The sequence below is a fragment of the Homo sapiens genome, chromosome 13 (assembly GCF_000001405.40).
Source record: "Homo sapiens chromosome 13, GRCh38.p14 Primary Assembly".
NCBI classification, from domain to species: domain Eukaryota; kingdom Metazoa; phylum Chordata; class Mammalia; order Primates; family Hominidae; genus Homo; species Homo sapiens.
The window spans coordinates 33,097,853-33,119,137 of NC_000013.11; the positions used below are offsets into that span (position 1 = coordinate 33,097,853).

Below are 21,285 nucleotides of genomic sequence, written 5' to 3' on the forward strand. Positions count from 1 at the left end.
TCTTCTTGACTAGGCCTTGTTTACAACCAAAATGCTGGCACCTAATGTTTATCATTTCTCTTCAAGGCTTGAAGTTAGCAGCTTTATAGATATGGGAAATCCTGATCATAAACCCAAGTGCGTTTGCCAAAACAATAGAGTTAGCTTATCCCTTCCTGCATTAAATTCTGGTGCTTATTTGTCTTTCTTAATAATATTAATAAATGTCCTTTGCATTATTTTTCTCCTTAATAGAGCACTTTCATCTGCATTAAAAACCTTTTCAGGCAGATATCCTTTCTTCTCAATGATTTTCTTAATGACATCTGGGAACTCATCTGCTTCCTCTTGGTCAGCAGAAGCTGCTTATCTTGTTATCATGACGTTTTCTAAGCCAAACTTTTTTCTAAAATTATCAAACCATCCTTTGCTGCCATTAAATTCTCCAGGTTTAGATCCTTTGCCTTCATTTTGTTTTAAGTTATCATATAATAACTTTGCTTTTCCTCAAATTATATTAAAGCCTGTAGGTATGTCTTTCTTGTAGCAATCCTGTACACACATAAAAGCTACATTTTCAATATATGATTAAAAGGTATTTCACTAAAAGTGCTATTTTCATGTCTTGCTGGTATAGCTGCAGCCACAACTTCATGAATTCCCTTTTCTTTTCTTTCTTTTTTTTCACAGTGGTCCTTTCACTGGATTCATTTATCTTCAAATGATGGGCACCCACAGCTGCAGACCTTAATTTATGGTACATAACAAGAAATTCAACTTTTTCTTGGAATGTCATGACTTTTCTCTGCTTCTTAGGAGCACTTCCAGCATCACTAGTGGTACTTCGTATGGGTCCCCTGGTGTTAGTCAAGGTTTACAATATTGCACATTGAAAAACACTTAAGAACTGCAAGTGATTACTTTTTATTGTGATATGCATTTTACTGGAGAGACAAACTACTCACATGGAGATGATGAGCATCACATGGAACTTTAAGAAGTTCTTGTAACACTTGAGTTCACTGAAATAGCAACAAGAGGTGGCTATGAAATTATTACAGTAGTATATTATGTACTACAATAAATTTTATGCAATTGTGATTTAATATTGCCTCTTTGTGTTTACATTTCTCTCAGTTGGAAATGACACCATGTAAGTCTGTGTTTGTGTGCACATTTTGATAAATTATAACCTTTAATAATTTATTGGTATATATTTTATGTTAGGAAATGATAACATAGACTAGTATCTACATATATTTTATGAATTCATGAATACCTAACTTTTTAAATATTTCTAGGCTACACGGTCTGTGAGTTTTTTCAAATTGTTACAAATCTTCAAAAATTTTTACAATATACTTGTCAAAAAAAATCCACATATAAGTGAACCCATACAGTTCAAACCTGTGCTGTTCAAGGATCAACTATACTTTACTGACTCTGTCTACTCAAATGCTAATCTCATCTGGAAACACCCTCACAGATATACCCAGAAACCATGTTTAATCTGGGCACCCCATAATCTACCAAAGTTGACACAAAATTAACGATCACAGACCTATATATATGCCCAGATGCTGCTGGGCATCTCCACCTGGATGGTTCACAGTCACCACAAGCATTGTGTGATCAGAGCTCATTTGGCCATCCTTTCTAACCTGGCTCTCTCCCTGCTCTGCTGCCCCCCACGAATCTGCTTCTCCTCTTCTTTGTCTCTATATCAGTTAAATAATTTACCACAAAGTTTTTCCAAGCTAGAAGATCCAGAGTCATTTTGAGATAATTCCTTTCCCCCACCATTTCAAAACAAGCTAGTATATAGATCTTATTAGTTCTATTATAGCTCTGAAATATGTTTTAAAAGCTATCCACTTCTTTGCCCACAAGCATTTTTCACCTAGACTGTTACAACAGTCTTTTAATTGGATTCACAGATCACTCTGCCCTTCATCATGCCAGTCCATCCTCAACAAAACCACTAGTCATTCAGGTTACCAACCCAAAGCATCTCCTTTGCACCCTCAGGGGCCCAAGCTAGCCAGCTAGCCAGGAAAGGACAGACTAGTCTGGCCTATGGGAAGGATTTTAGTTCCATGTCTTGGCCATGCTGGAGTTGTGGGCAGAGGCAAACTGACAACTCAAGCTTAGCTTCTGCCGATTAAAGACTTCCTCTGGCAGTGAGGAGGGGTTTGGGCTTAGCACTCACTCATCACTGGGATAAGCCTACCTCCTGTGACAAACAATGGGCATGATAACAAGAGAGGGAGGCATGAGCCTGGCAACCCAAACTTTCCTGCTGATTTGGGGTTTGTTCTTGGGGATCTCACCAGTAATCTCATCTTATCAGCTCTTGGCATCTTAGGATCATGTAACACCTGGACTGATCTGGTTCTCTCCGGGTCATGTGTAGCATCGAAGGTGTTATTTTGGTTTTAAAAGCATCTTCTCTGAGGTTAATCATATGAATGCCAAGTTTTCTGAAATATTCTACATTAAATAGGAGAAAGGAGTGAGTTATAAAATGAAAAGAAAGGGAAGTTATCATGGATTAGTTTCAGCTCAGGAATGGCAGGTGGTGAGACACCTCTAATACATCTAATGTGGAAACGGGTGAAGAACACTGGCAAAGACGGGTGTAACTTTACAACCCTGCTCCTGTGCCTAGTAATGCTCCAGGTCTGTCTTAAGTCCAAGTCTGTTTTACTGTTAATACTCCAAGTCTGTTTTAATGGATTCCAAGTCCATTTTAAATCTCTTTCAGCAAAACTAGTGCGAGTTCATTTCTCTGCCTCTTGGCTCTAGTTTGCTTAACAGATAAAGGCCAAGCTCTTCCAGCTCAGGTGAGACGTCCTGTCCTTTGACTCCCCTGGGCTCTTGTAGAATTCACAGTAATCTGTCACTGGGTGTTGTATGTATAGACCCTTCTCATTATTTGTGGATTCTACATTTGTGAATTCATCTACTCACTAACACTTATTTGTAACCCTCAGATCAATACATGCAGTGATTTTATGGTCATTTTTGGGCATTTTCAGAGTGTCAACAAATGGGAGTCACTGATGTGAATGCACATTCCCAGCTGAGGTCAGTGTGCTCGCTTCCTTCTTGTTTCGGCTCACATACTATAAATGTGCCCTTTTTACAGTCTATTAATTGCCATTTTTTTCAAATTTTTGTGCTTTTGGGTGGTAATTTCACTTTCCAAATGACCCCCAGATGTTGCACTAAAGTGCTGTCTAATGTTCCTAAGTACAAGAAGGCTGGGGGTATGCCTCATGGAGAAAATATGTATGTTAGATGAGCTTCGTTCATGCTTGAGTTATAGGGCTATTGGTGTGAGTTCATTGTTAATCAATCAACAATATAGTACATCCAGAAAAGGAAGTTCACCAATATGTACATGAGGCTGTTCTGGAAAGTGCTGAAGTGATATTTATAGTGCATGAAGAAACTATGGAAAAGACAGAAAAACAGCTAAATTTGTGGACTCATAAAATGACAACTGATTTTTAAAGTGTAGTAAAAAGAGTACTGTTGAGAGGCTGAAAGCCCAAGAAATTTACAGTTATGTTACCCAGCATCAGGGAAATGTTAAATCCTTCTCTGCTAGGGTTTTATTATAAAGAAATACTGCAGATAACTAACTTATAAGAACTATATATTAAATAAGGTGTCTTAAACAGAAACACAATAAAACAAGGTTATGTAGTGGTGGGTTGACAAAAATATTGTGACCTGAGGCTCACAGGAACCTAATCCTGTATTTCTGCTAGGAGCAATGGTTCAGTATTCACTAATTCAGTGTTTGCAACAACTTTACAGAAAGGAACTACCACAAACAATGAAAATTGACTGTATATCACAGTTTCTGCCCCCACATTATGTCTTCTTTGTATTAACGCCTCTGCCTACTTGTGTCCCACTCTTATTCACTGTTGAATAAATGTGTGCTGAGTGAATAAAAGTCTTATGCAAGCAAGTTTTCTGCAGAGATACAATATTGCTGGGAATTTTGAGCCTCAGCTGTGCACCAGAAGGATATAAACTAGGTGACATCTAGGAGGCTGAAGAGTGGGATTATTAAAATGAAAGTAAACACTGTCTTTAAGAAAAACTACAAGGGATATAGTCTGCCTATGGAATGTCAAAAATTGTACATCATCAGTTGTTTAAACTTCATGACTTTGCAACATTCCAGTGTCACAAGGTCAGGTGTTTATTCACTGCTTGTGCAGTCAGCACACATTGACTTTGCGTTCGTATCAGAATGTGACACTCCATTTGGTTGGGGTCTGTTTTAAACCTTTACATTTATCTTCCTGAGAAGGAACCATATGTCCAGTTTTTCTGTAACCAAATATCAAAAGACACAGGTGGAACAATTTTATGTCTAAGAATTTCATGAAGAGTGTTTGGAATAATGTAAAAAACTTTTCTTTCCTTTTCAAAGTTCTTTTAGTTGACAAATAATAATTGTACATATTTGTGGGGTACATAGTCACTGCATGTTTTGATACATATATGGTGATGAGATCAGAGTAATTAGCAAGAATCACCTTTGAATTCATATGATCCATACTCTCAGGACATCTGTAGCCTGCGGCTGCTAGAATGACCATCACATTCTTTTCCTTCATGTAGAAGAGAAAAAGCGCCATTGAATTCCCCCTTTGCCTACTATGAAAGCAAAACTTGCAAGTAAGAGGGGAAGGTGTGCATGAGATAAGAGAGCAGAGTTGGGACAACTTTTGTAGGGGCATACAGTCTTCTGGGCTTCTGTGGCTTTGGAAGCCTGTGCCTGAGAATGTTTGAGAGCCCCGGCTTTCTTAAGGGCTCTCTGGGCTGATATTTAGAAGAGATGCTCAGATTTCAAGGGTAGAAGGGAAGAGATTTAGAGTCATTTGTGGCTACTTTTCATGGTCTAGTAGTGCGGCTGTAAGTCATTTCATCATATCTTGATTTCTTGTCCACTTAACAAAAATAAAATGTAGCTAAAGAGTTTACTAAACCTTTGATAAAAATATTATGAATATGAAAAAAATTATGAATTATAACTTCTAGATTTAAGGACAATGAAATTTAAGAAAAAAAAATCCCCACCCATCACTTTAATCCCTTAGATCCAGGTTAAGGCACCCAGCCTGATAGTGAATGTCTGTTGACAACAACTTCTTTGTATTTGAAGACAGTATTGACTACAGATGGTACCAAGGAGTCAAAGTCATGGCAGGCTATCTTGGGAGAAATCTTCCTCATGAAGCAAATTTTCCATTTAAAGATGAAGCATGAAAATCAACATCTATTTTATAGAAAATAGGAAATATTTAATATATATAAATTTATTTGCCTTGGCAATTATTTATTTACAATTGATGATTGATATCAACAATTGAGGTAAAAATATACATGAGGTATAAATATAATATTTAAATGCAATATCATACTTTATTTCCATTGGCAAGATAACAATGAATAAAATACTGTGGTATTTGACAAACAAGCTTGATGCATCGTTTTTTCTCCTTTTTTTCCCTTTTCCTTGTTTTAAAAAGATGCACTGTGTTGTTATGCAGCGGTGATATGATTACTATGTGCACAAAAACAAAAAAGTCAGATAATTCGAAGAGAGGGAGAATCAGAAATACAATCACATTTGTTCTTATTCTGTTTTAGGGATCTTCTAGGTCCTCGTTTCTGAGTGTGGTTTTAGGCCAGCAGCATAGGCATCCCTGAGACTCCTTAGAAATGCAGAATCTCAGGCCCAGCCCAGATTACTTGGAGCAGAGTCTGCAGTTTCACAAGATCCCCAGGCAATTCATGTGCATGTGAAATCTGGACAAGCACCTCTCTGGGCGATACAAAGCCACTCATCCTCGTGTGCCTATCACGTTTTCCAAACACATAGGATCCCATCTCAGGAGCAGGACCAGTGTTTAGCTAGATTAAACTTCACTGGTGATCTTGTTGATGCATATAAAGTAATCTGGCATATATGGTTAAATTCAAGATGTTATGGCAGAAGTGACTTTGTTTTGCTCACAAAGCATTGCCCAAAAGGTAAATTATGGATTTACTGCTTCCTTCTTAGGTAGATATGGGAATGAAAAATTTCTAGGTCATAATTCAAACTGTAAGATTTTCCTCGCACCATACCAAACTCATAGAAAGCTTTTTTATTCCTCTCAATAAAATAATTGCACATTGCTGATAACAGAAACATTACATAAATGCATATAATGCAAAAAAACCTGAAAACACTCATTTGCTTTTCTTTTTTTCTCCAACACCAGTTGCTAAATCTTATCAATCTCTATTATGGATGACCAAAGAAAATCTCTCTCCCTGAAATCAAACACACAATAAGTTATCTTTCTCTCTATAGCTGTTGAATTACAATAAAAAGCACATTCGATCCATTAGCAGTTGGCTAAAGGGAGTCAATTCGCTTCATCTGTACAATAATAAATAAGGTTGGGTCAAATGCATAGGTAGCTTGGACTGGCTAGTGAAGAAACACAGAAGAATTAATAAACCCGATTATACTATCTAAAACTAATCAAAGAACATAGTTTTGGTCTCATGTTAGTTAAAAACCCTGTCTTTCAGATTGTAAAAGTTTAATGAATTACATTTTAAGAGTATCCTACACATAACAAAATATGAATTCCCTGAAGCTGTAACGATCTAGGATTTGAACGGAATGGCCATCATCTCCCTTTGTATGGTGTCTGGAGTTGAATTCAGTGCAATAAGAAAACACCAATTAACTGTGACCAAATAGGCCACTGGTCAAATAGAATGACATTTAATAACATTATGAAATGTATTTATAAAAACTTGAGACAACACAGGGGCTCCCTTTGGCTGTGAAGAAGTAAAGGCTATGATATTCATCTTGACTTGGGGTCTGTAGTGATGGGCATGGGAGCGAGAGGTATCGCTTCTGTTTCAGTCACTCTCGCTGACTCCGGTGGTCCATATCTCACTGAAATTCCATCTTACTGGGCCCAGTGGCAACTCCTCATCTAGCTTTAAATTTGGTAATGACTTCTCACCCCCCCATTTGCTTTAAGGAGGAGTAATTATTATTTCCTTGCTTTATCCCAGATCTCCACTCTCAGTTTTTGAATAGCAGAAACAAAGCGTTAACACATAAGTCTCCTTTAATGTTATTTTCCTTTGGTTAACTCATCTTTGGTTAGGCATCAGGGCATGTTCACACCTTGGTGTTAGCAGCAGGTTCTGCACAGCTTACAGGACAGTGGAGAGATGGGGCCCAGAGCCACTTGGAAAGAACTGTGTGAGGAAGGGACTCACTGAGTCAGACACCGTCATTTTCAAAACACACAATTCTATATAAAATTGGTATTTTACATATATACAGTAAAGATGGAGATATACACACATATGTACATATGCTATACATACATTTATTTACAGTTAGGTATACGCTTCTTAGAAGCCTTTAAATAGCAAATTAGGCAATGCACAAGGAATAGTCCATTTAATTTTAAGTAATATATATAAAGTTCTCATTTTAAAATTATATTAGTAGGGATGTAGCCATCTCCAGGAAGGCTAAGAAAGTTCTTGGAAATTCTTGCATCTCCAACATTCCAACTTCTTAACGTTTCCATTTTTAGGCATTAACCGCGTCCTTCAGTTCCTCTTTCTCTCGCTTTCTCACATGCACACTCTCTGCCACACTCGTCACTTTAGCTTCCTCTTCCCTGAGTTTGATGTCACACTGGGCAAAACTCAGATTTTAGTTTCTGGGCCCTCAGCAATGAGGGGCTGGAAAGAGTTTCTAATCCTGGCAACTTCTGCTGCACACAGATGTCCAAAGCCTTTGCTGTACCATTCTGGGGAGTGACCTCTGTGGGGAAAGAAATCAGAAAGGAAGTGGGAAAGTTTGTTTCCAAATCACAGCAATTAGTTTTGGTGGACAGGGCTGCCCTTGGGCCCCGATGACCAGTGAACCTGCAGACAGCTCGGGCTGCTGCCTTGAGGGGCTCAGGACGTCATTCTGCCATCAGGGGCCTTGAAAACGTCCTGGCTGCTAAGTATTCATGTTGTCATTTGAGTACTCATCAGGTGCTTTAAAATGATACCAACATCTTGGGGTAAAATGAAAAGATTCAGATGAAATCCAGAATTTACTGTGAAAACTCCGTTTTGTCTACCCAGACCAAGAACTGGGTTTAGCATCATGAATGCCTTGAAGGGGTTGGATGTAAGTTACTTACTTCTCAAAGAACTACCAGAGGGAGCAGCAAAAGGGGACAGGCATAAAAGAAATACATGGTCGAGCACGGTGGCTCATGTCTGTAGTCCCAGCACTTTGGGAGGCTGAGGTGGGCGGATCACCTGAGGTTGGGAGATTGAGACCAGCCTGGCCAACATGGCGAGGCCCTGTCTCTACAAAAACATACAAAAATTAGCTGAGTGTGGTGGTGGGCAGCTGTAGTCCCAGCTACTGGGGAGGCTGAGGAGGGAGGATCACCTGAGCCCAGGAGGTGGAGGTTGCAGTGAGCCCTGATGGTGCCACTGCACTCCAGCCTGGGTGACAGAGTGAGACCTTGTCTCAAAAAGAAACACAAGAGAGGGAAACTCTGATTTACTGAGTACCTACTATGTGTCAGGCTCTGTTTCTGGTGTGTGTTTCATGGGAGAAAGACAGAAATATAAGTAGGCATAAAACAGAAAATAAAGAAAGACAAACAGTTGCAGGAGAAATGTCAGAATTTCAGGAAAGGGGGAAAGACAGAGGGGAGGCATACATATCCACCTATGAAAGCACACTAATGGCAATGAGGAAACAAATACAGTGAAATAAGAAATCAGGGTGACATCCCTGCTGGATGTGCTGTACAAGCTGAGACTCCCAAGATCTGAGCCTGCCATTAAGGGAGTCAGCACTTACTTCAGGTCTATCCTGCAGATGTGAGTCAGTCTTGACTTGCCAGAGCCACACGGTTCTATCAAGTACTGCGAGTCCATCACCACTGCTCGCACACCACCCAGGAGCTGGGCTTCCTCATGCTCCACGGAGAGGGACACCAGGGTACACATTCCTTTGGGCAAATCAGTTTTCCAGGTCCTGTAGCAAAACAATCCGCACATCAGAGTCATGACTGAGGGAGGAAGAAGAACCTGAACACAGAGCTAAGGTTTGTGTTTATATTTTCCTGCCAACAACCTGGGCTCAGATTCCAATGCTAGTGACTTGGATTAAGCTAATGGCTTTCATAAGCTTGTGTAAAGTTTATACAGAGAATTTCAAAGCAAGGATCTCAGCTCTGGGACTGTGAGGCCAGAAATGGTCTTGCAGCTTTCAGATCTGCATCTGGAATCCCCAGCTCTGCTTAGCTGCAGAGGCTCCTGCCCATTCTCGAAGAGGTGGTTTTACAGTTTATTATTAGAACTCACTCATTCGATTCATTCAGCAGACATCAATTAAGCAGATAGACATGCCAGTCTCTGAGAAGCCACCAAGGACATAAAGATATACACAGCCCAGGAGGAAAAATACTGACACTCTAAACAGAATTCTAAAAGCACTGAGGTAAATGCACTGGTAAGATTATGCACAGAGGGCTCTGGGATCACATAGAGGGGGCTGCGGGAGGAATATGGAGAAGGCTTCCTGGAGGAGGGCATGCTCAAAGAGAAGTGAACTGGTACGCTTAGCTTGAAGGAAAAGAAACATATGTGGGCCTGCTTATTGTCTTCACATACTTGAGTGGCTCTTGAGTGGGAGAAGAAATGAATATGGTTGATTTGACTCCAGAAGGCAGAGATAGGAAAGTACATTTCTGTGCAGGAGAGAAGCACTGTCTAACAATGTGCACTGTTCAGAAATGAAATGTGCTGCCCTGGGAGGCAGTGAGCTCCCTGTTCCTAGAGCTATTCAAGCAGAGGTGGCTACCCCTTGAAAAAAGGTTGTGGATGGGAGTCAGGAGCTATGAGAACATCTCTGTAACAACCTCTAACTTCCCTTTCTACCCCAGGGATCTATCATAATAGATTGCATTATTAGAATTCCCATGATTTACTCCACAAATTCTATTCCCTTACTAAGTCATGTCCTCCATGATTTCACCCTGTCCTCCTACACCAGGAAGAGAAATGGTGATATGTGCTTGACAAGAACTTGGGAATAACCAAGCCCCACACAAATGCTCAGCGACTTCCATGCTGTGACTACTCTTTTCATGAACGAAGATGTGATAAATCGTGACGACTGAAAGTTGTAGAGATTTGTTGGGATAAATGGGAGAATCTCCAGCAACTCTCAGCGGAAGCTCCCGAGGAGCTAGCAATGGGTGTGACATGAGAGACAAATGCAGCAATCCTGAAAGGTGACCAGCCTCATACATGCTAGCCTAGACTGTAAGATGCTCTGAAGACAGGAGGCATCTCAGCCCCGTGCCTCCTCACCACACTCATCACTTTCCACCTCCTTGTATCCTACACATAAGGAATTCCTGTTGTTGGGAACCAGATCTGGTTCATTGTTAGCCCGTGGAGGGCTGCACCTCTTCTCCTTCAGGGCCACATGGTCCACTCCACTTCTTCAAGTCTTGGATCAAAATCAGTGCAGCAAGACCCCGCCCTGACCATTCTATTTAAAATTCCATCCCTTACTATCTCCCTATCTTATTCCTCCCAGGATAAGTAAGCCCATCTCCCTTTCTTATTTTTTATGGACTTTCCCCAGTGAAATACAAACCCCAAGAGAGCAGGAGAGGGGTTTGCTGCATTCCCTTGGCATACCCAGAGCCTATTGCAGTGCCTGGCACGTGGTCGTGATGGAACGAAGCACTGATAAATAGCAGGCTGGTGGGGTTGCCGGATGGATGGAAGGAGGGAGGTTCTACACACAGACTCAGGCCCTCAGCCTCCTCTGGAGGGAGGGAGGAGGCACGCTATGGCATGGCCCCATTCCTATGGCAGCCATCCTGCAACAGCTATTCAACTTTCCACTTGTGGAGTGAAAGCATGAAGTTTAATTCCACCAGATGACTAATGTCCTAATAACTTTGGTAATATGCCACCCTTATAAACTGCCTGCATTCTCCAGCAGGATCCCAAGGAAGCAGAGATAAATACATATATTTAGGGAAAATTGACCTTTAAAAGTCAAGGTTCCATGGGCCAATTCCCAAGTCATAAAGAGCTCATGTGAAAAGTAACCTTTAGTTTGCCATCAAAACTGGTTTCATAAAGAAAGCGTTTTAAATATACATTTGGGAGTTTCACAATAGGTTCCTTTTACACTGCTGATCTGTGACATGAGACAAGGCTTGCCAAGATTTTCAATAAAAAAGGATATATTGATCTAATTACCTTCTATTCAGGTTCTTTAGCACCCTCAATTTCTGTTCTGGCTGATGCAACACTGCATCTCTACTGTGCAAACTTTCTATCATTGGTTGAGCATCCCCTTCCAAACCCCAAGAACAGGGGTCTGGAACTCAACCCTTACATCAATCAGAAGAAATATTTCCTTGGCAGACACAGAATCAACAAGATTTTCTGGACCTCCAGGGCAGTGCCAAGGTTTCTGAGCATAGTAATAGCTATGAGCATCTGAAGTTATACAGATGAGTTCTGAAGTCAAACCTACTCCAGTCTTGAGAGTTACACACACTTTCCCAGGGGAGAAAAACAAAATCAGAAGAAAAGCCAGTCAGATCCATTTGCATAATTTGGCAGAAAGTGCAACCGGACAAACAGCAGCTTTTCTGGGCCGTCTGCTCTGAGGAAATGAATAATATTTATGGCCTAATAAACTGTGTGCTCCACAAGGAGAGGGGCAATCAGAGAGCCCAGGCAGAGCTGTAGGCTGGGTGAAAAGACACAGGAAGTCGGGCATCGACACAGAAAACTCAGATGTCACTGAGGGAAACAAGAGCCGGCTTAGTGTTCCCCGTGGAGGCTGGACTTTGGTGGGAGACACCAGGAGAAGTGCTCACATCTACAGTTCGCGTCCTGCCTTTGGAACAGAACATCATAAACCCTAGAGTCAGGCTCACCTGAGAACCACAAAGTCTCTGGAAGGATGGGGAGCCATGCTGTTCAGCACATACTGGTAGATCTCTGTTTGCCTGTCTAGAGTTTCCACAACCTTCCACTGCACAAAGTCCTCGTCCCACAGGTGGCGCTCTCTCAGCACGCGGTTCAGGACCACTGAGGGGGGTGCTTCCACCTCCACAGAAGCCTTCCACAGCTTCAGCGGGTTCCCGTCGCCCACCTTGGGAAAGACAACGTCAGAAGCTGAAGAGGTTGTCTGGGATATGGGTCCAACATTTTTTGTTTGGGCTTTTAGTTTTGCTATCATACCTTGCTGGGTGTTCAAAAACCATCACTGATTATGTAAATTGAGAGTGATACTACATACCTCAGCTGTAACATTTTAGTCCTTAAGCTTAAAAGAATAATAATGATGATAAAAATAATAATCACCAACACACCTAGTGGTTACTGTGTGCCAGGAACTATTCTAAGCCATTTGGTTTGTAAATTAGCCTTCCTCCGACAGTGGTACTCTTACAATGTCCATTTTGCAAATGGGAAAACTGAGGCACAGAGAGGTGTGTGACTTGCCCAACATCACACAGCTACGGGGGAGAGACAGGACCGGGATCCAGCTGTCCGGCTCCATAGTTTACTCTCTGATTATAGGCAACAGATCTCTGGACTGAGTTCTTTGAATGGTTCATGTGCCTTAACTGTCCGCGTGTGTGCCAAGCCCTGTGGACACAGCAGCTGTTTTCAATGCAAAAACAAATGTCTGATTGTTAGCTGTGGCTTTCTGGGGGTGATCTTTTTCCATCCTCTGAGATTACCTTTTTGAAAGCAAGATCTGTATTGTCCGTGCTGGAGCACGTGACCCATCCTTTGAACTTCTCCTTGGCTTCTTTCTGGAGGCCCTGGATGAGATGGTTCAGGTAAGTGTGGAAAGTTGCCCCACTCTCCTCCAGCTGTGTCCCCAATTCTTCCAGGGTTGGCACGTGGATCTCAGCCTCCACATACGAGTTACGAGACTGGGCCACCAACTCGTGTGGAACCTAGACCAACGGATGCATGAAAGGGCAACACACTGAGCCAAAGAAACGCCGAGACTCAAAGAAAGCAAAGCCATTTCACCCACAACCCGGCTCTGAGCCACGGGCCGAGGGCCACACGGCCAGAGATGTTTTTCTAAGATCATTGCCAAGGCCGGGAGGGGCCTTCCTAAAGTCAGGAAATACAAACATGTTTCTGAGGCTGTATTTATTATTCAAAACATTGCAATGACTTCCCCTTTATTATTTTCACTTCCCTTTTATTTTACCTTTACTGTCTTTTTATTCAGTTTGGCAAAATATGGGCTCAGACAACTTTACCCACTATGAATAAGACTTAAAACAGACAGACTTGTGAAGGGAAACATCAAACATGACTTGGGAATAGCTTTACTTTTTTAGCACACTTTTCCCATTGACAAATGCCAATTCTATCACAAAAGTATGCCACAAGTCTGGTTCACTTACTTCTTTTACATATCTGTGGCTGTATTCATAAGCTGTCATTGGTTCTTAGCAACAAAGATTCCTCAGTATCATACACACACTCACACAGATGTTTAACCTAATCAAGCTCCAAGGTAAAATCAAATAGAACATAATTGGCTGACTGGCCTTGAACCTGATAATGGCAGGTGATGCACTGTTTGCATAAAAACCATCAGTATGGTAATCCCAAGTGTCTTTATCAAAGCCTCAATTGTATAGCTAGCTCCTCAGCTTTCTTGGAAGCAAACACCAGAGCTATAACATATACTATTGTCATAAAATCAGGAACAAACAGATAGAAACCATAAATGTAGCAACAATCCCAAGCGTCTTATCTAGTTCCAAGAGCTACTAGGGAGGCGGAGGTTCGAGCCTTTTGCTCACCTCAAAAAGTCTGTCGCATTCCATGATCATGTGCGCTAGCCCCTGAGCTGCTGCCAGATTCTCGTTGAGGTCCTTTTGATCTGGCTTCCCAGTGGCATATTTCTTCTGTATGACTCTGTAATTGAACGTGAGTGTGCTAAGCAGATCCCACACCAACGAGCTTGTCACAATACCAAACTCATCCCTTTTGTTTTCTGTTTATACCCAGATGCTATCCAGATCCCAGGCTTTTGCGTTTCCAAATAAAAACAATGATCACATATCTTAGATATCTGAATCAGGCTAACAGTCTGACAGTTCACAAGGAAAAATCTTGGAAAACTAAAGGGCAGGAAGAACAGCAGGGGACAAAATTAATCTGTTTTTCCAAAGTTTGAAACCCCTTAACTGCAAGCTCCTGTGCTTTGGTCTTAAATATAGCCTTTTAAAAATTGTAAAATACTACTTTGTGTATGTTTTCCTCCTCACTCACACAGACAACATAAAACTCAAGCTTTCTGGATCACAGCTGGCATTCTTCAATGCTAGCTCAATAATTCTATGAATCTGAGCCCCGTGAATTAGGGTGTCTCACAAGATTTTCTGATTATGAAAAGAGTGTTGACAAATCCTGAAGTTGAAATGTAGCATGAGACACATTTTATCTATCTATAATCTATTATCTATCTCTATTATCTACCTATCAATCATCTATTTATCTCTCTTTATCATCTACCATCTATTTATCATCTATCTATTTAGCTGTCATCTATCATCTATGTATCAACTATCTATCAATCTATCATCTACCTATCGTTGATCTATCTACCTACCTATCTATCTATAATCTGTCTACCAATATATCCATTCGTATCTATCTATCCATCCATCCATCCATCCAGTCTTATGAACTGTGGGAATGCCTGCTTTGGGATTACTGTTGTTACTGAGAAAAAAAACCCACCGTGGAGAGCTTTCTTTCTTCAATAAATTAAGATGAAAGAGGGAGGGGGCCAGACACACTGCCAGGTTCATGGGCGTCATCTGATTCTCTTCCACCAAGTTGACGACGTCGTTCAGGAAACACAAGAGCGTCTGCAGGACCTCCCTGTTCTCATCGGCCAGTAGCAGGATGGCAGCCTGCACGGCCTGCAGCCGCTGCTCTTTGGAGACATCTGAGGAAAAGTGGATGCCAGGTCATTGGAGGAGCAGACATAGAAAGAGCCAGCTGGGAAGCACTGTGTAAGCTCCACATTCCTCGTGTGAACACGCACCCAGAGTCATCATCAACAAAAACAACCAGAACAGCAGGAAAGGCACAAAGAAGTCAGTAATTGCTGAGGCCTCGCAGCTCATGGGAGGCAGAGCTGAGTCCCAACCCTTGCAATTGAACTTTGGATCCCACGCTCTCGATGGCCAAGCAGGGTTTAGAAAGGGGCACCACCATCCTGGTTTTCTGTATTCTGAGCAATCAACCCACTCACCTGCTTTCAGAAGGCTTCTGGGTGAAGTTGGTGATTAGGACTCTGTCAACCTGGCATCCCTCTTGCCCATCCTCCCTGACAGACAGCTTGGGAAGCCACTCTCAGGATGCCCAAGGCTCCGTGGGACATGGTTTGAAAACCACTGGGTTAGGGAACAGTAGCCTCGCCTTGCGTTTCTCCACCCCTGCCAGCCAGGCCATGATGCCAGTGCTGCACAATTCACCGGGAGTGGTGTTGAGCTGGTGGGACCTCTGACCTCATTCCTAGAGGGCCAGCTTCTCGAGGGGAAGCCTGTACATCTTCCTTTTTCCTACAAATCTCCCAGGACTTGCTTTGCAGGATGCCTGCTATTGACTTCATGTGGAGACCCAGCGTCACCTGTTCCATAATCTTGGGGTTTATGGAAATGGAGGCTGTGCTTGGAGAAGAAGAACCAGGCAGCCTAAGGTTATGGGGGATGTCTGGCCCTTCTCAGTGCCATTACCCTTGAGGGTGGTCCTTGTGGTAGTGGGTACTGGTTATGCAGGCTTACCAGGGAATTGGTTCCAACAATATGAGGGGAACTAAATGGAAATCACACCAAATGAGTGATAGGTGCTGCCTTTTGCTGCTCCCACCTGTGGCTGTGTTTATTTCATGATCACTTTAGTCCTCTCACTGCGAAAGACACCGTCAGGAGCTTGCTTCTGTCAACACTGTTGTCTTTCTTAAAGTGCCATGTTCTGGAGCAGGGGCCTCCACACGAGGGTGTCTGAATTCTCAAGGGGTGGGGAGGTGTGCTCCTGACAGTCTCTTGAGGTGTGAGAAGAAATCATTAGCACTCCCACGTGTGTTTATCTTTTCTCTTACCCATTAAAAATACTGATTGGGTGTGCTTTATAATGTGCATAGTACATTAGAGTACATCCAGTATATTTATATTACTAAACATAAATACACATTCAGATATTTGCTACTGGCAGGAGTGCATGATAAAAACAAACTCAGAGCTGGCTGTTCCAGAAGGGCTGAGGTGTGACCTTCTGAGGGGGTCCTGGCTGGCCCCAGGCTTTGTGGTCCTGGGGGGCTATCGATGCTGGATTCGCCTGCAGTCTCATGCAGGAGGCATGACGTCACATGCCAGGGCTGACCACACTATGGCCCTGATTAGCAAATCCAAGTTCCTAGAAAAGCCTGAGCATGCCTTCAGTGGTCTGAAACCCGTCTCCACTCCCACCATGTCCATTGTGTACTGGCACAAGATATACCTGGGGTTTACAGAGAAGAGCCGTTTTGTTAAAATTAGAGTGAACCCATTTTCTTACTCTCGCTTAGGGTGGAGGAGAAACAGATGGTACTAATGATCTGAAGCTTGTGAGAGGTGTAACAAGTTTTGCTTGAGCTGCAGAATTGTTTTAAATATGCTGCTCTAGGTAAGGTGTCCAGTGTGTATACATTGTTTAACTTTAGATTACTAAGCTTCTTTTCCATGCCAACATTTTTTCCCAGCCATCATTTTTGAAGAGTCGCCTGTCATCTCTATATGTTGTCTCAGTTCCCTTTCTATCCGCTTGTTCTTTTATCCATCAGAAAATACTTCCTGTCCATTATTATTATTATTATTTACTAAAAACGCTTCAAATACCTAAATTCAGCATTTGTTTTGGATCCTATGCTCTTTTAGCTTTCTGTTACATACCATGCTGCTGCGGGTCCTGCCCCTTTCCTGGCTCTAAGGGGATGATTCTAGGTCTGAATTTCTAAGTGTGGATAATTTGCAATCATATGGGGGATCCTGGCACCTCAAATTCAGATTCCTGTGGATTCTGAACCCTTCTCCCCTCCAATTTCCACATTCTTTCAATCATCAGGCCTTAAAGCCTTATGGTTGTCTTTGACTCTTCTATCCTTCTCCCTCCTCCAGATGGGTAGGACTCAAATATTTTCATTACCCATCCAACACTCCAATTTAGTTCATCATTTGACAAAAATCCAAGAAGTGGCATAGCTGAAAACAGAACTTCTCTGGAGAAATGGAGGAGGAACCGTTCCTCTCTGCCACAGTAGCAGTTTGGAAACTTTGACTCTAGGGTCTATGCATGGAATATCTTCTCTCCAGTCTCACTGCTGGAAGTCCCTGCAGGTAATTTGGAACCTTGATTAGTATGCTGACTCCCTGAGTCTCCATGCTCGTCCAGTTCGGTGCCTCTTGTGCACCACTTCCAGATTCCTGGGTCAATGACACTGTGCTGATGGACTTTCTCCCTGTAGCAGATACAAGGCTGGCCACCTGCTCAACTCAATACCCATTCTTCCCTTCTTCCTCATTAAGAAAACACATGTTCTGCTCAGGTGTGAGCTGCAATGTACTCAGGGAAATGGGTGTCTCCCTCAGACCCAGGGATGAACCATGCTGCCCTAAACCAAAACTGGTAACCCAGGTCTTCTTTCCAGTGTTTGGTTTAAGGGGGAAGCTGTAAACCACTTCTGCCTGAGGGCCAAGAAAAATGCTGAGAGCTTCTGTAAGATGTATGACCCTGATAAAAAGAGACACATGGCCAAAGAGAAGCGTGGTCACTCTCTTCTTGTCTTGGAATGTGATTTTGTGAAGATGTGATAATTATAAGTTGTGACAATTATATTGTGACCTTAAAGGGAAAGCCAATAGAGGCTGACTTTAGCCCTGGCATCACTGAGCTGCGGGATACCCAACTCTGGAATTATGTGAGATAATAAAATGTACTTATTGTTTAAATGACTGTTCAAATGACTGTTCGTTGGATATTTGGTTCTGTCTTTACAGCTGAGAACACTGTAACTGGTAAGTCCCTCAACAACACCCGACGGTTCCCCAATGCTTAATGAATCAAGCATACACTCCTTGCCCTAATATTCAATGTCCTTCCTTTATGGCCCCAGCGTCATTTTTCAGTGTCATTTGGTGTCACTTTGTATGTCTGCCATACATGCAAGCCAGATGAATACACTGGGCTCTCCTGACTTCTGCTTATGCTATCTGCCGAGCAGGTACCCAAAATGTGTTCCTCACATATCTCAGCCTTCAGTTGTCACTTCCTCCATGAAGCCCTCATTCTTCATCTCTCCCTCCTTGGACTTTTCTTTGTAACCTTTCTATGGAAATTCTCCAAATTTGTTGTGTTGGAGTTTTTTGTGTTCATGCCTCATCTCCCTCAATTGTAAGATCCTTAAGATCAGAGAGTGAGTCTCATCCATCCATATGCTCTGCCATGCTAAGCACGGTGCCCAGTACAGAAGTCACGCTCTGTAAATGTTTGCTCAGCTAAAATAAAGCCTGCTTTGATCTGGCTTCTTGCTTGTGACTCAGAAAGGGCCAAAGACATTTATTTCTTGAAAGTAATGTGGCTTTAGCCTTAGACTAGTGTCAACTTTAATCCAAGAACTGATTAAATGTAAAAGACTCATATCTGATACTTCCAAACCATAAGGGAGACTTAATTGAAAAATGTAGTTCAACCTCTCACAGCAACAACATCAAGAACTCCCTGTTTGGGCTCTAGCAACTTGTACCATTAACTTAACTTAATCTACTTACTTTGAAAAACTAATATTTACTTAGTGGGTTGCCACCTTAATCTGTTTTCACAAGTGGTTCTGATTACAATCCTTTCTGAGTTTGCAGTATCATGGACTCCTTAAACACATTTTATACAGAATTCTCTATAGCATGGATATTCTTCAAATTGAATCAAGTCCATGTCAAGGTCCATTTCAGGCATATTTTGCTGAAAACTCAAAACTCAAAGTCCATGGGCCAAATGGCTTTTTTCCCCCATGAATTGGGATCTGGACCATCAAAATAATTCATAATGTTAACATTGTCATATCTAGCAAAGAGTCACGTGTTTAATTTCATTCTTTTTTTTCTGAGATGGAGTCTCGCTCTGTCACCCAGGCCGGAGTGCAGTGGTGCAATCTCCACTCACTGCAACCTCCGTCTCCTGGGTTCAAGTGATTCTCCTGCCTCAGCCTCCTGAGTAGCTGGGATTTCAGGCACCCGCCACCATGCCTGGCTAATTTTTGTATCTTTTAGTTAGAGATGGGGTTTCACCATGTTGGCCAGGCTGGTCTTGAACTCCTGACCTCAGACAATCCAACCACCTCCACCTCCCAAAGTGCTGGGATTACAGGCGTGAGCCACCATGCCCAGCCCATGTGTTTATTTCTAATACCCCCATTGCAACCACTTATAGTAGGATATGCTTCTTAATCAACAATTGTTATTTTCAGGGATTATTTTAATTATACAGGCTTTGCTGAGAACTTAACATTATTAAAAAAAATCCAAGTGAAAATATAAATAAGTTTATTTAAGCTTAAGACTTGATTTGGTTTGCTTACTTTTCACCAATGAAGATACTTTGTGCTAAAATACATTTGTTTTTATTTCCTGTCATTTTAATTCATGTCACTTTGAATTTCCTATATCCCAAAGAAATGCTTACTTTTTTAAAAAATTGAATAAGTTTTAATAAATACCTATATATAAAACAACTTCTATTGTGTCCCTTTTTCATTTTAAATTTTTGTAAATGTATTGAAAGTTTGTTTTAGATCATACACAAAACTCTTTTGAGAAGGAATATTTTGATGTCAAAAAGGTATTTTCAAATGCATAAAAAAATGGCTTGTGGATTTCCATATCAAACTTTGAGCAAAAGTTACTTCCGTAGAGGAGAGCAGGATTACATACATCTTTATGGATTGATGTATTATTCGTATAATTAAAACTCAATCTATAGGGAATTATTTTCATTAAAGTGGAAGGATGCCCACGAGAACACCAATCTCATTATTTCCACTTACACTGATAGATATGGAGAAAGGTCTCACTGAGCTTGTTGGTGAAAAGAGGCTCAGGGAGGTCCCGGAAGAACTGTTTCACCATATCCGCCACATCATAAGCAGACTGGTCTTCATAGTTGACGTTCTCAGGGAAGTTTTCATTCATTTGGCGAAGGGCATGGATTCGAGACTTCACTCCTGATTTGCGAAAAAGACCCACCTGAAACAAAGCCATAGGGATGTGTCAGCCAGGCCACACTTGGTTGTGAGGAGGAGGAGGAAGCATGGGAAGGGAACTGGATGAGCTGGAATTGCCTCCCAATTAGTACATGCTGAACTACTAGTATAGCTACTTTAGGCAGTACCCGAACACTGTCTTCCTCTCCTATGAAATGAAGATAAGAATAAAACCCCACCTCACAGGATTACTGTGGAGAGTAAGTGAGGAAATAGATGTGCATGTGCTTTGCGACCTGTTACATCTTATCACACTGCAGATGTTATTATTATTTTATTCATTTATTCAACAAGTAGTGATTAAGTAACCACTGTGTATCAGGCATGCTTAGAGTTCCTAGGTGTCATTAGTGAGCAGAACAGATAAAATTCCCTGCCCTTTAGGGTTTACATTGCCATGGGGATTTTGAGAACGTCTGGTCAATGGGAGGTTTGGTGAAAACAATGTGGGTCGTGGATGAAAGAATCCCAGATAAACAGCCATATCCAGTGCCCCTGCAGGGGAGAGTTTTATGGGGAATATGTTCATGAAACAGACTAATATCATAAGTACATATTTTGATTTAAGGAATTTATTTACTTTTTCTTCTTTGGAATTCTTGGCACTTACTTTTCTACCTGTTTGTTTTTATGCAGTAAGCTATGGCTCTAGTGAGAATGATTCCTGGGTGGCTTTTTTTTCAGACCTCAAGATATTGTCATATCATGCCTTTTTCATCTTAGAGTCTAGACTCCTCCCCTACTTGATGAATAAATGGAGCATTAAGGCATCAAGGACAGAGTGGCCCTAATGAGAATGAGTGAGGCAGAGCAGAGCCCGGCAAGAATGAAGATCCTGCAATGGTGGGGCAGGTTAA

General features: G+C 41.7%; 1 protein-coding gene across 11 annotated transcripts in view, besides 2 other annotated features; it reads right to left on the bottom strand.

The window, feature by feature from the left end:
• The window catches only part of STARD13 (StAR related lipid transfer domain containing 13), a 573,658-nt gene continuing 557,657 nt past the window's right edge, over window positions 5,285-21,285 (bottom strand). For 9 of the 11 annotated variants that reach the window (XM_017020835.3, NM_001243476.3, XM_047430759.1 and 6 more), the window contains 7 exons: window positions 20,213-20,411; window positions 14,869-15,079; window positions 13,926-14,040; window positions 12,834-13,055; window positions 12,021-12,238; window positions 8,906-9,082; window positions 5,285-7,858 (listed from right to left, as the gene is read on the bottom strand). In XM_017020835.3, the coding sequence (XP_016876324.1) occupies window positions 7,741-7,858; window positions 8,906-9,082; window positions 12,021-12,238; window positions 12,834-13,055; window positions 13,926-14,040; window positions 14,869-15,079; window positions 20,213-20,411 (1,260 nt within the window). In that variant the 3' untranslated portion in view covers window positions 5,285-7,740. Of the gene's footprint in view, window positions 7,859-8,905; window positions 9,083-12,020; window positions 12,239-12,833; window positions 13,056-13,925; window positions 14,041-14,868; window positions 15,080-19,695; window positions 20,412-21,285 lie in introns of those variants that run through there. The other 2 variants (NM_001243474.2, NM_001243466.2) reach the window with 2 other exon arrangements.
• Window positions 11,728-11,787: an enhancer, noted in NCBI's record as "active region_7568". NCBI's record gives its function as "activates an Ori minimal core promoter by ATAC-STARR-seq in GM12878 lymphoblastoid cells {active_cell/tissue: GM12878}" and the evidence as "EXISTENCE:reporter gene assay evidence [ECO:0000049][PMID:35858748]".
• Window positions 11,888-11,977: an enhancer, noted in NCBI's record as "active region_7569". NCBI's record gives its function as "activates an Ori minimal core promoter by ATAC-STARR-seq in GM12878 lymphoblastoid cells {active_cell/tissue: GM12878}" and the evidence as "EXISTENCE:reporter gene assay evidence [ECO:0000049][PMID:35858748]".